At 37.5% G+C, this 12,113-nt stretch overlaps 1 protein-coding gene across 2 annotated transcripts in view; it reads right to left on the bottom strand.

Moving 5' to 3' along the window:
- CLDN16 (claudin 16) overlaps positions 1-5,955 on the bottom strand; it is a 121,778-nt gene extending 115,823 nt beyond the window's left edge. For both annotated transcript variants that reach the window (NM_001378492.1, NM_001378493.1), the window contains exon 1: positions 5,725-5,955. The gene's annotated coding sequence lies outside the window, so the exon portion shown is untranslated. The remainder of the gene's footprint in view (positions 1-5,724) is intronic.

Below are 12,113 nucleotides of genomic sequence, written 5' to 3'. Positions count from 1 at the left end.
CCTGCTTTATTTTTCTTTGTAACATGACAAGAATGACAGAATATTATATTTTTATTCATGCATTACTGTATTGCCTGACTGTTTCATGAGAATGAATGCTTTATAAAAGCAGCTATTTTATATGTTTATGTATATTATGCTCGTCATTGTATCACAAATGTTTAGAACAGTGCCTATCACATAGTAAAGCTCAAATAGTAACTAGCAAATAAATTAATAAACTAATGTATAATGATTAAGGTAGAGTATATGACTCAAGTCAGATCAATGAGGCTCCATTTCAGAGCTTTTATTATAATTATCAGGGAAGAAAACTCTTCATTTAGAAGATGAAATAAAAAACCCTAGAGCCAATAAAAAATCAAATGAACATAACTATGAAAAGAGCAGAACTGAGGCTGGAGAAGAAAAATGCCTGATTACATAAATCAAGCCTCTTGATCCAGCCCCACGTAGAGTGAGTTATAAGCCTAGAATTTTCAGTTTTATGAACATATACATTTAATATTTTCTTAATGTATTTTGATGTGTATTTCTACATTTAGTTCAGACAGAGTCCTGACTAACATATTCACTGATCTCCTTTTATACAAATTGTTAGATTGAGGCCTGTAAAAAAGAAGAGTTTTGCCCAAACTCATAAAAACAACGGAGCTAAGATGTAAACATGGATCTTCTGAGTTCAAGTACTGATCTTTTTCTTCTGTACAAGCAGCTTCCAATGCTCTGTGATCTCAGGTTGTACATTTACAAAACAGCCTAGTATTCCAGCCAGGAATCCTAGGAAATTAAGTAGGTTGGTATTAAGTTTCCTATGCTGTTTAATCGTTTTAAGTCTAAACTGCCACCTCACTGTGAGGGAGTCCAACTCCGAAAAAAGAAAAGAAATCCCACAAAGAAAAGGTTAGGATTAATCCTTTCTGTCCAACCTAAGCCATAGGTTTGTTAAGGAAAGAAAATTTGCTTTTATAAAGATTCTCTTTTCCTCTAAGACGGGTACCATTCATGCTTTTTTTCTCTGAGTTTATTGCAGGTCATAGATATTTTAAATCACTGCATCATGATGAATGTAATCAGTTATTGTTTCTGTGTATCATTGTGTACCTGACAACCACACAATCTCATCTTAAGACTGTCAGAGAAATGAGAAAGTATCTTGCTTGGTACCTGGCACTTAGTAGGCATCTGATAACTTATATTCATTAAATATGAATATGAGCGTGTCTTGCCTATAATACTGTAAAAATTTATAGGGAAATTGTCTTAATTTTTATAATTTCGAGCCCTGAGATAATGCCTCTATTGAATTCCCATGTTTTCAGTTTATTATCTGTTAGAACATGATTAAAATAAAGCTAGAAAAGACTAACAGTCTCCACATTATATTTTGAGTTTACTGGAGAAGACAACAATAAAATGTGGTGATAACTTCATGATTTAATCCTCATATTTATTACTTTCTTACTGAGTTTGCAAGACATTTTCAAAAGCACTTTTTAATCCAGTTTTTATAAGTCATGTGGTTTATAGTTTAAATTACACTATTTAATATAGTAAGAACATTGTAAATTGTCAGAATCAATAATATGGTTCTACAGAAAAGATTAGGGTAAAAAATGTTCTTCAGAAGAAATTGTTTTTAAATTAAAATATAAAAGCTTTGTTTATTGAATATATTAATAATTTGTGTAAAATGATAATTTCAAACTTTTAAAGAAAGTTTATTTTGTTAATTGTTTAAACAGGACATGTTTTGAAACTTGTTTTTATTATTACTGGCTTTTAAAACTCTCCTTATTTAAAAAAAGTAAGTAAAAGCGTGCACAATCCAGAAAATTTAAAAATTAAATTAATTTACATTCAATATTAAAATTTTAGACAATGCTTATTTACTTTGACTATTAATACATTGTCTTTCAATGCCAATCAGCCTCTCATTCAACCAAAAGTATGAATTAAGTGCCCACAGCTATCAACTACATGTGGTGTGCTCTGAACACTTATTTAATACTAGCAGCTTAAATTGTTCCATTTTTTTAGTTGAACTAAGTGTCTACTTTGATAAAGTCATGAGGTCAGAACTTAGATGTGTAAACATTATGAGACATGGTTGAGATTTGAAGTAGTTTAGAAGGAAGCATTTTAAGTTAAATACAAGCACAAAACTCTGCCCTAGCTGAAAAATCCCCCAGATTAGGGTAAATCCCAACAGAAAGCAATTCTCAGGACAATAGACAGCCTCTGGTTTCTCCTTCCTGACATTCTGTCAAGACTTTTCAACCAAAACTCATCTAAAACTGTCACAAACTTAAAACTCCAGAATCATTTGTTTATTGAACTCCACACTTGTTATACAGTACTTGCTCAGTATTTCCACTAAAATGTCTAATAGGAATCTCAAACAAAACATGAACGAAACCAAATTATTGATCCCATTTCTCTCCCTCTGTCCTCCCTCTTTTAGACCCTTTGTCCCCTACCAACAGCAAACAAAACAAAAACCTGAGATTCTAATCTTCTCGGTTTAACTGTTTCTCTGTTTCTTTAGCCAGTGAGCCAAGGTCTTGACAATACTGTTGAATACATTCTTTGTCTCATACGCTATGTCCAATCCATTATTAAATCCTGTTAGCTATAGTTTACAGTTTACCCCAAATCTGATCCCTGCTCACTTCTCAATTGGATATTAGTCCAAACCCCACAGTCCCTCATTTGAACTATTGATATTTTATTGGACCTTTTCATTGGTCACTGGACTTTAATCCTTGTCCACTCATGGTCTAATTTCCAGAGAGCAGCATGATTATCTTACAACTCAATTCATAATTGTGTTTCCCTTCTGCTCAAAACCATCTAAGGCTTTTACACTTAGAATAAAACTCAAATTCTACACCTTGGAATATGATCTACAAGGTCCTATATATTACATGGCCTGATATGGATTGGCTTTGTGTTCCCACCCAAATATCATTTCAAATAGTAATCACCAGGTGTTGAGGGAGGGACGTGGTGGGAGATGATAGGATCATGGGGGTGGTTCCCCCATACTGTTCTTGTGATAGTGAGTGTTCTCATGAGATCCAATAGTTTTATAAGGTGCTCTTACCCCTTCACTTCCTTCACACATTCTCTTGCCTGCTGCCATGTAAGACATGCCTGTTTCCCCTTCCACCATGATTATACGTTTTCTGAGGCCTCCCCAGCCATGTGGAACTGTGAGTCCAATAAACATCTTTTCTTTAAAATTCGTAGTTCTTTATAGCAGTGTTAAAATAGACTAATACAGTAAATTGGTACTGAGGCAATGAGGTACTGCTATAAAGATGCAGAAAATGTGGAAGCAACTTTGGAACTGGGTAACAGGCAGAGGTTGGAACAGTTTGGAGGCCTCAGAAGAAAACAGGAAGATGTGGGAAAGTTTGGAACTTCCTAGAGACTTGTTGAATGGTTTTGACCAAAATGCTGATAGTGATGTGGACAATGAAGTCCAAGCTGAGGTGGTCTCAGATGGAGATGAGGAACTTACTGGGAACTGGAATGAAGATCACTTTTGCTATGCTTTAGCAAAGAGACTGGTGGCATTTTGCCTCTTCCCTAGAGATATGTGGAACTTTAAACTTGAGAGAGATGATCTGAAATTGGAAGTTATGTTTAAAAGGGAAGCAGAGCATAAAAGTTTGGAAAATTTGCAGCCTGATGATGCAATAGAAAAAGAAAAACCCATTTCTGGGGAGAAATTCAAGCCAGCTGCAGAAATTTGCATAAGTAATAAGGAGCCAAACATTAATAGCCAAGACAATGGGGAAAATATCTCCAGGGCATGTCAGAGATCTTTGAGGCAGCCCTTTCCATCATAGGCCCAGAGACCTAGGAGGAAAAACTGGTTTCATGGGCTGGGCTCAGGGCCATACTGCTGTATACAGCCTTGAAACTTGATGCCATGCATTCCAGCTGTGGCTAAAAGGGGCCAAGGTACAGCTTGGGCCATCGTTTCAGAAGGTGTAAGTCCCAAGCCTTGGTGACTTTCACGTGCTGTTGTGCCTGTGAGTCCACAGAAGTCAAGAATTGAGGTTTGGGAACCTCCACCTGAATTTCAGAGGATGTATGAAAATGCCTGGATGTCCAGGCATAAGTCTGCTGCAGGAGCAGAGCCCTCATGGAGAACCTCTGCTACGGTGGTGCAGAAGGGAAATAAATGTGGGGTTGGAGGCCCCACACAGAGTCTTCACTGGGTCACTGCCTAATGGAGCTATGAGAAGAGGTCCACAAACCTTCAGACCCCAGAATGTTGGATCCACCAACAGCTTGCAATGTGCACCTGGAAAAGCCACAGGCCACTCAATACCAGCCCATGAAGGAGTTTCCCAAGGCTGTGGGGGCCCGCCCCCTTAATCAGTGTGCCCTGGACGTGAGACATGGAGTCAAGGGGATTATTTTGAAGCTTTAAGATTTAATAACTGCCCTATTGGATTTTGGACTTGCATGGGGCCTGTAGCACCTTTGTTTTGGCCAATTTCTTCCATTTCAAATGAGTGTATTTACCCAGTGCCTGTATCCCCATTGTATCTTGGAAGGAACTAACTTTATTATTATTATTATTATTATTTTACAGGCTCCTAGGTGGAAGGGACTTGACTTGTCTCAGATAATTAGTTTTGAAATGTGAAAGATGTAATATTTAAGAGGGACCAGGGGCAAAATAATATGGTTTTGCTTTGTGTTTCTACCCAAATACATCTCAAATTTTAATCCCTGTGTGTTGAGGGAGGGACCTGATGGGAGGTGACTGGATCATGGAGGTGGTTTCCCCCATGCTGTCCTCATGATAGTGAGTGAGTTCTCATGAGATCTGATGGTTTCATAGGGGGCTCTTCTCTCTTCACTTCTGTTACACCCTCTCTTGCCTGTGGCCATATAAGATGTGACTGCCTCCCCTTCCACCATGATTGTAAGTTTCCTGAGGTCTCCCCAGCTGTGTGGAGCTGTGAGTCAATTAAACCTCTTTTTTAATAATTTACCCAGTCTTGGGGAGTTCTTTATAGTAGTATGAGAACAGACTAATACATGGCCTTTTGTTTCTCTGATACCATCACCTCTCCTTGACACATTCTTCAACAGCCACATTGATCCCCTTGCTCTTCCTCAGATATCAAAGGGATAGTCCCACTGCAGGCCATTTACATTTGCTGTACCCTCTGCCTAGATTGTTTTTCTCTAGATATCCACATGCTATGGTTCCGCATAGCATTCATTATGCTCAAATGTCACCTCATCCAAGAAGCTTCCCAAGACCATCATATAGAAAATAGTACATAACCCAGCCCCTCATTACTCTCTAACATCCTACTTGTTTTTTTCTTCATAATTCTTATCACCAACTGACAGTTATTGGCTTACATGCACATTTTTTATATTCCCACAGATATGTAGAATTTTTTTGTTTTCATTTACTGCTATATCTCATTTCTAGAACTGTGCCTAGCCCAAAGCTAGTATTTGATAAATAACTAAAAAGCAATTAATTCCTCTTCATTTCTTTCACTACTTTGATATAATTTTCTTTCACATATCCCTAATAAATTAGAATTGTAATAATTATTTATCTGTGATTTTCCTACATCCTTTCTGTAAGATAAAGGTTGTATTACCCCTCTATTTTAAGATACTCATTGCTAAGCAGGTGAGATAGTTGGCAAAAGAAGATAAATTGCTTTTATCACTTACCTCCTTGTAGAATTTCAGAGATGAGCTGATGAAAGGAGGACAATTTATGGAAACGAAAATGGTGAGGTATGAAAGAGTAGGTTTTTTTTCCTTAAAATTGTCTTCCACCTAGGACTGAAAGAGATCCTGAAGGTCAAATGATACAATTTAGACTAAACCTAATTCTTTTTCAAGTATACTCTACAAGTGGCCATTCTTTTAGCCTTCACAGACAAAAGCTCTCTAAAATGCAAGGTGGCAGATGTTATAATTCAGAAACTTCCCCCAAATAAGCTCCGCCCTTTAGAGAATCTTTCAGCACATTATTAGACTTTATTCCATTTATCACTAGAGGACATTTTTTCTGTGAAGTCCCCAAAAAACCACCTTTCAGATTCTCTGTCTCGATGCTAAGCAACTGTGAAAACTGTCATAATTGCTGAAGTTCACCATCAGGCCCTGCTGAAAGATTGTCAGCCTTTCTGTAACCATGATTCAGTTCACAGATCCCAGCAAAGAGACATCTGTGTCTAAAGACCTTTCAAAAGAGACTTTTGTCATGAACTTACACCAGTGTTAGATTATGTGACAAGCTTGTCAGTGTTGATAAACAGTAATGCCAGCTATAGTTGTAAGAATAGGGAGCCACCTACTTTGACATGAACCATCTCAACTCTTTCTGTAACCAGTTTGTGAATTCACCATGACACTTAAATAGCCTCATGATTAAGTACCCTTCCATTTACTACCTCTATGACCTTGATGAGGTCATTAATCCTCTGTAATTTTCAATTTATTCAGTTTTAGTTGAGAGTAATAACAATGAGTACATAGTTATTTTAATGATTAATTTTGAATTATTGATCATTCAAATCAAATTTTAATAAAATATTTTAAATATATACTGTCTTAATAATAGATAATTCGATACTTTAAGACTTCCTGCTCAATAACTAAGAAATGAATAAAACATTTTTATTGAGTTGTCCATAGAATTTGATAGTTCAAATTTATATTCATCTTTTTTTGGTATTATTTTCAACATAGAACCTCCATGGCAACCAACAGTGGGTCTCTCAGATACGGTGAGATTAAATTTGTTGGACAAATGAGATAATCTTATAAATATGATAAAGAGAATCATAGAAGGACTGATGTCACCAAAATGGTAAAATAGAAGGTAGTCTGCTAATGCCCCCTAAAAACCTAGAGTCAAAAGTCTGTCTGTGAGAGCCTCAGGATTCAGGTAGGAGTTTGTGAAACCCTGGTAGAGCTCAAGTCCTTGGAATGTTGTTTCAAAAGTGCAGATCAACATCCAGGTGGCTGATCTGCTGAGCTTGCTTCTGGGTTCAAGTCCAGTAATAGTTCAGTCCCCCAAGGGGCTTGGCTACAGCCCTGTTTGGCTTTGAACCTGAGCCCAAAATCAGCTGCCATGTGGTCCTGAAGAAATTGAGCACCCCAGTCCCTTGGCAGAAAGGCTGGTCTGCTCACTAACATTGATCTTGGCAGTAGAACCCGAAAGTTGCCCTGTGGTGCTACTCCAGCCTTCTTCAGTTGACCTCCCAGCTCAGAGCTGCTCACACAATGACTCAGAGGAGACTTGCCCATATTTCCCAGCCTGGGAATCTAACCCTCCTAGACAGGCACACCAGCCAACTTCTTTTCCACAGCAGATCCCAAAGAGGCTCAGTGTTAGATCTGGTCCCTCTCACTACAAACAGGAATCTATCCCACCTGTACAAGGACTTGCGGAGAACTATGTACCTGTCTGGATCAAAGAGATGGTCTCTTCAGCCTGTCCCATAGCAGATCCCAAGGGGGTCTAGTCCCATCTTTAGTTCTTCTTGTTGTAGTTGGAAACCATTCCTGCCTGTGCAAATACCTACTGGGGGGCACACCTATCTATGCCACTGGGATATCCTTCTAGACTCAGGTACCTGGGCAGCATTCTCACACAGCCTTCGTACCTTACTTAGATCTTCCTCAGGTCTAAATAGGCTGGAAAGCCATGTCAACCTCTGAGCCTTTGTGAGACTTTTGACAAACCTGGACTTAGAGAATCCACTAAGGCTAAGATGACTACCGTGGTCACAGGCTCAGGAAACAGAACAATCAGTCAGTTTAGAATCTCCAGATGGCCCTCTGAAGGACAGGCACATAAAAAGCCAGCCTGTGAAGACTAAAATACTTACCTAAGCACTCAATGTATAGACAATATCACACTCTACAAGCATCAAGAACAATCAGGAAAATATGACCTCATCAAGCAGGCAAAATAAGGCACCAGAAACTAGCCCTAAAGTAATGGAGATGTGTAATCCCTCAGGAAAATAATTCAACAAAGCTATTTTAAGAAATCAATGTACAAAAATCACAAGCATTCTTATACACCAATAACAGACAAACAGAGAGCCAAATGATGAGTGAACTCCCATTCACAATTGCTTCAAAGGGAATAAAATACCTAGGAATCCAACTTACAAGGGATGTGAAGGACCTCTTCAAGGAGAACTACAAACCACTGCTCAATGAAATAAAAGAGGATACAAACAAATGGAAGAACATTCCATGCTCATGGGTGGGAAGAATCAATATCGTGAAAATGGCCATACTGCCCAAGGTAATTTATAGATTCAATGCCATCCCCATCAAGCTACCAATGACTTTCTTCACAGAATTGGAAAAAACTACTTTAAAGTTCATCTGGAACCAAAAAAGAGCCCGCATCGCCAAGTCAATCCTAAGCCAAAAGAACAAAGCTGGAGGCATCATGCTCCCTGACTTCAAACTATACTACAAGGCTACAGTAACTAAAACAGCATGGTACTGGCACCAAAACAGACATATAGATCAATGGAACAGAACAGAGCCCTCAGAAATAATGCTGCTTATCTACAACTATCTGATCTTCGACAAACCTGAGAAAAACAAGCAATGGGGAAAGGATTCCCTATTTAATAAATGGTGCTGGGAAAACTGGCTAGCCATATGTAGAAAGCTGAAACTGGATCCCTTCCTTACACCTTATACAAAAATTAATTCAAGATGGATTAAAGACTTAAACATTAGACCTAAAACCATAAAAACCCTAGAAGAAAACCTAGGCATTACCATTCAGGACATAGGCATGGGCAAGGACTTCATGTCTAAAACACCAAAAGCAATGGCAACAAAAGCCAAAATTGACAAATGGGATCTAATTAAACTAAAGAGCTTCTGCACAGCAAAAGAAACTACCATCAGAGTGAACAGGCAACCTACAGAATGGGAGAAAATTTTCGCAACCTACTCATCTGACAAAGGGCTAATATCCAGAATCTACAATGAACTCAAACACATTTACAAGAAAAAAACAAACAACCCCATCAAAAAGTGGGTGAAGGACATGAACAGACACTTCTCAAAAGAAGACATTTATGCAGCCAAAAAACACATGAAAAAATGCTCATCATCACTGGCCATCAGAGAAATGCAAACCAAAACCACAGTGAGATACCATCTCACACCAGTTAGAATGGCAATCATTAAAAAGTCAGGAAACAACAGGTGCTGGAGAGGATGTGGAGAAATAGGAACACTTTTACACTGTAGGTGGGACTGTAAACTAGTTCAACCATTGTGGAAGTCAGTGTGGCGATTCCTCAGGGATCTAGAACTAGAAATACCATTTGACCCAGCCATCCCATTACTGGGTATATACCCAAACGACTATAAATCATGCTGCTATAAAGACACATGCACACGTATGTTTATTGCGGCACTATTCACAATAGCAAAGACTTGGAACCAACCCAAATGCCCAACAATGATAGACTGGATTAAGAAAATGTGGCACATATACCCCATGGAATACTATGCAGCCATAAAAAAGGATGAGTTCATGTCCTTTGTAGGGACATGGATGAAATTGGAAATCATCATTCTCAGTAAACTATCACAAGGACAAAAAACCAAACACCGCATGTTCTCACTCATAGGTGGGAATTGAACAATGAGAACACATGGACACAGGAAGGGGAACATCACACTCTGGGGACTGTTGTGGGGTGGGGGAAGGGGGGGAGGGATAGCATTAGGAGATATACCTAATGCTAAAGGACGAGTTAATGGGTGCAGCACACCAGCATGGCACATGTATACATATGTAACTAACCTGCACATTGTGCACATGTACCCTAAAACTTAAAGTATAATAATAATAAAAAAAAGAAAAAAAAAGAAAACAAACATCAAGAAAACAAAGAGAATCAATTTGGAATTTATCAGAGAAACTTAACAGAGAGATGAAATAACGAAAGCAAAACAAACAAAAAATAAGCAAACCCCCAGAAATCCTGGAACTGAAAAATACAATGAATGAAATAAAAAATGCAACAGAGTATCAAGATCTGCATCAATGAAAAAAAAAGAGAAGAATCAGTGAGCTTGAAGACAGACTATTTGAAAATATATAGTCAGAAGAAGAAAATGAAAAAAGAATATAAAGAAAAAAACAAAGCTTATGTGATCTATTGGATGACACAAAAAGAGCAATATTTAGGTTACTGGAGTTAAAGAGGGAATTGAGAAAGACAAAATGGTTGGATGGAACCATAGAAACAATAGAAAACTTTTCATACCTGCAGAAAGATATAAATAGTCAGCTAAAGGAAGGTCTAAGGTCACCAGTCGGATTCAACCCAAATAAGAATACCCCAAGAAATATTACAGTCAAATTCTAAAAGGTGGTAGGCAAAGAGAGGATCCTGAACGCAGTGAGAGAAAAGAAGGAAAAAACATGTAAAGGAAGATTTAATATGCCTGGCAACAGGCTTTCAGCTGAAACCTTACAGGCCAGGAGAGAATGGGACAATATATTCAGAGTTCTGAGGGGAAAAAATTGTTAAACAAGAACACTGTGCCCAGTGAACTTATCCTTCAGAAATGAAGAAGAGATAAAGACTTTCCCAGACAACAAAAGCTGAGAGAATTTATCACTACCAGACCTATTCTACAAGAAATGCTAAAGGCAGTTCTTCAAACTGAAAGAAAAGGATGCTAATGTAATTGCAATATTAATATTGTAATTGTGGTGTTTACAGCACTTGTGTCTTTAGTGAGAATATCAAACCACAAAACTATTAAAAGTGAGAATGACTACAAAAATTTGTAAAGCAATAAGAAATATAAAAATGTGAATTGTGACACAAAAAATTCAAAATGTAGAGGAAGAAGGGAATTAATTCACAATGTATACCAGGTTTTTGTCCTGCAAGTTGTTTGATTTCTTTTTTGTTGTGGTTGCATTCATAGTTAAGTCAGTATTAGTTTTAAATATTTGTTATAAGTATAGAATGATTCTTTTTTTCCTTTTGAGACAGAGTTTCACTCTTCTTGCCCAGGCTGGAGCACAAAGGCATGATCTCGGCTCACTGCAACATCCGCCTCCTGGATTCAAGTGATTCTTCTGCCTCAGCCTCCCAAGTAGCTAAGATTACAGGTGCCTACCACCATACCCGGTTAATTTTTTGTATTTTTAGTAGAGATGGGGTTTCACCAATTTGGCCAGGCTGGTCTTGAACTTCTGACCTCAGGTGATCCACGCACCTCAGCCTTCCAAAGTGCTGGGATTACATGCGTGAGTCACTGTGCTCAGCCACTACAGGATGATTTTAGTAAGTTTCATGGTAACAAAAAAGCAAAAATGTATAAGACACTCAAAAGTTGAAAAACAACAATTTAAAATGTAGTACCAAAGAAAATCACTTAACCATGTATAAAGACAGTAGTAAAGGAAGACAGGAATTACACAAAAACTAGGAAACAAATAACAAAATAGTAGGAATAAGGTCTTACCTATTAAAGATAATATTGGATGTAAATAAACTAAATTCTACAATTAAAAGACATAGAGTGGCTGAATAAATTAAAAATAAAAACTAGGCTGCCTACAAGAAAATCACTTCACATATAAAAACATACACAGACTGAAGGTAAAGGGATGGAAAAAGATACTACATGGAGATGGAAACCAAAAAAGATCAGAAGTAGCTGCACTTACATTGGAAAAAATAGACTTTAAGTCAAAAACAAACAAACGACAAAGAAGGTCATTATATAATGATAAAGGTCATTATATAAGCATTATATAATGATTCATTAAGAGGATCTAACAATAATAAATATATTTTCTACTCAATACAAGAGCACCCAGATATATAAAGCAAATACCAATAGATCTAAAGGGAGAGATAGATTACAATACAAAAACAGTAGGAGACTTCAATACTCCACTTTGGATAACGAACAGATCATCTAGGCAGGAAATCAATGAAGAAACATGGGAGTTAAACTATACTCTAGGCCACATGGCCCTAACAGACATTTACAGAACATTTCATCTGACTGCTGCAGAATATACATTTTTCTTC

The sequence above is a fragment of the Homo sapiens genome, chromosome 3 (genome assembly GCF_000001405.40).
Source record: "Homo sapiens chromosome 3, GRCh38.p14 Primary Assembly".
Classification (NCBI taxonomy): Eukaryota; Metazoa; Chordata; class Mammalia; order Primates; family Hominidae; genus Homo; species Homo sapiens.
This window is presented reverse-complemented; position numbering and strand designations above follow the sequence as displayed.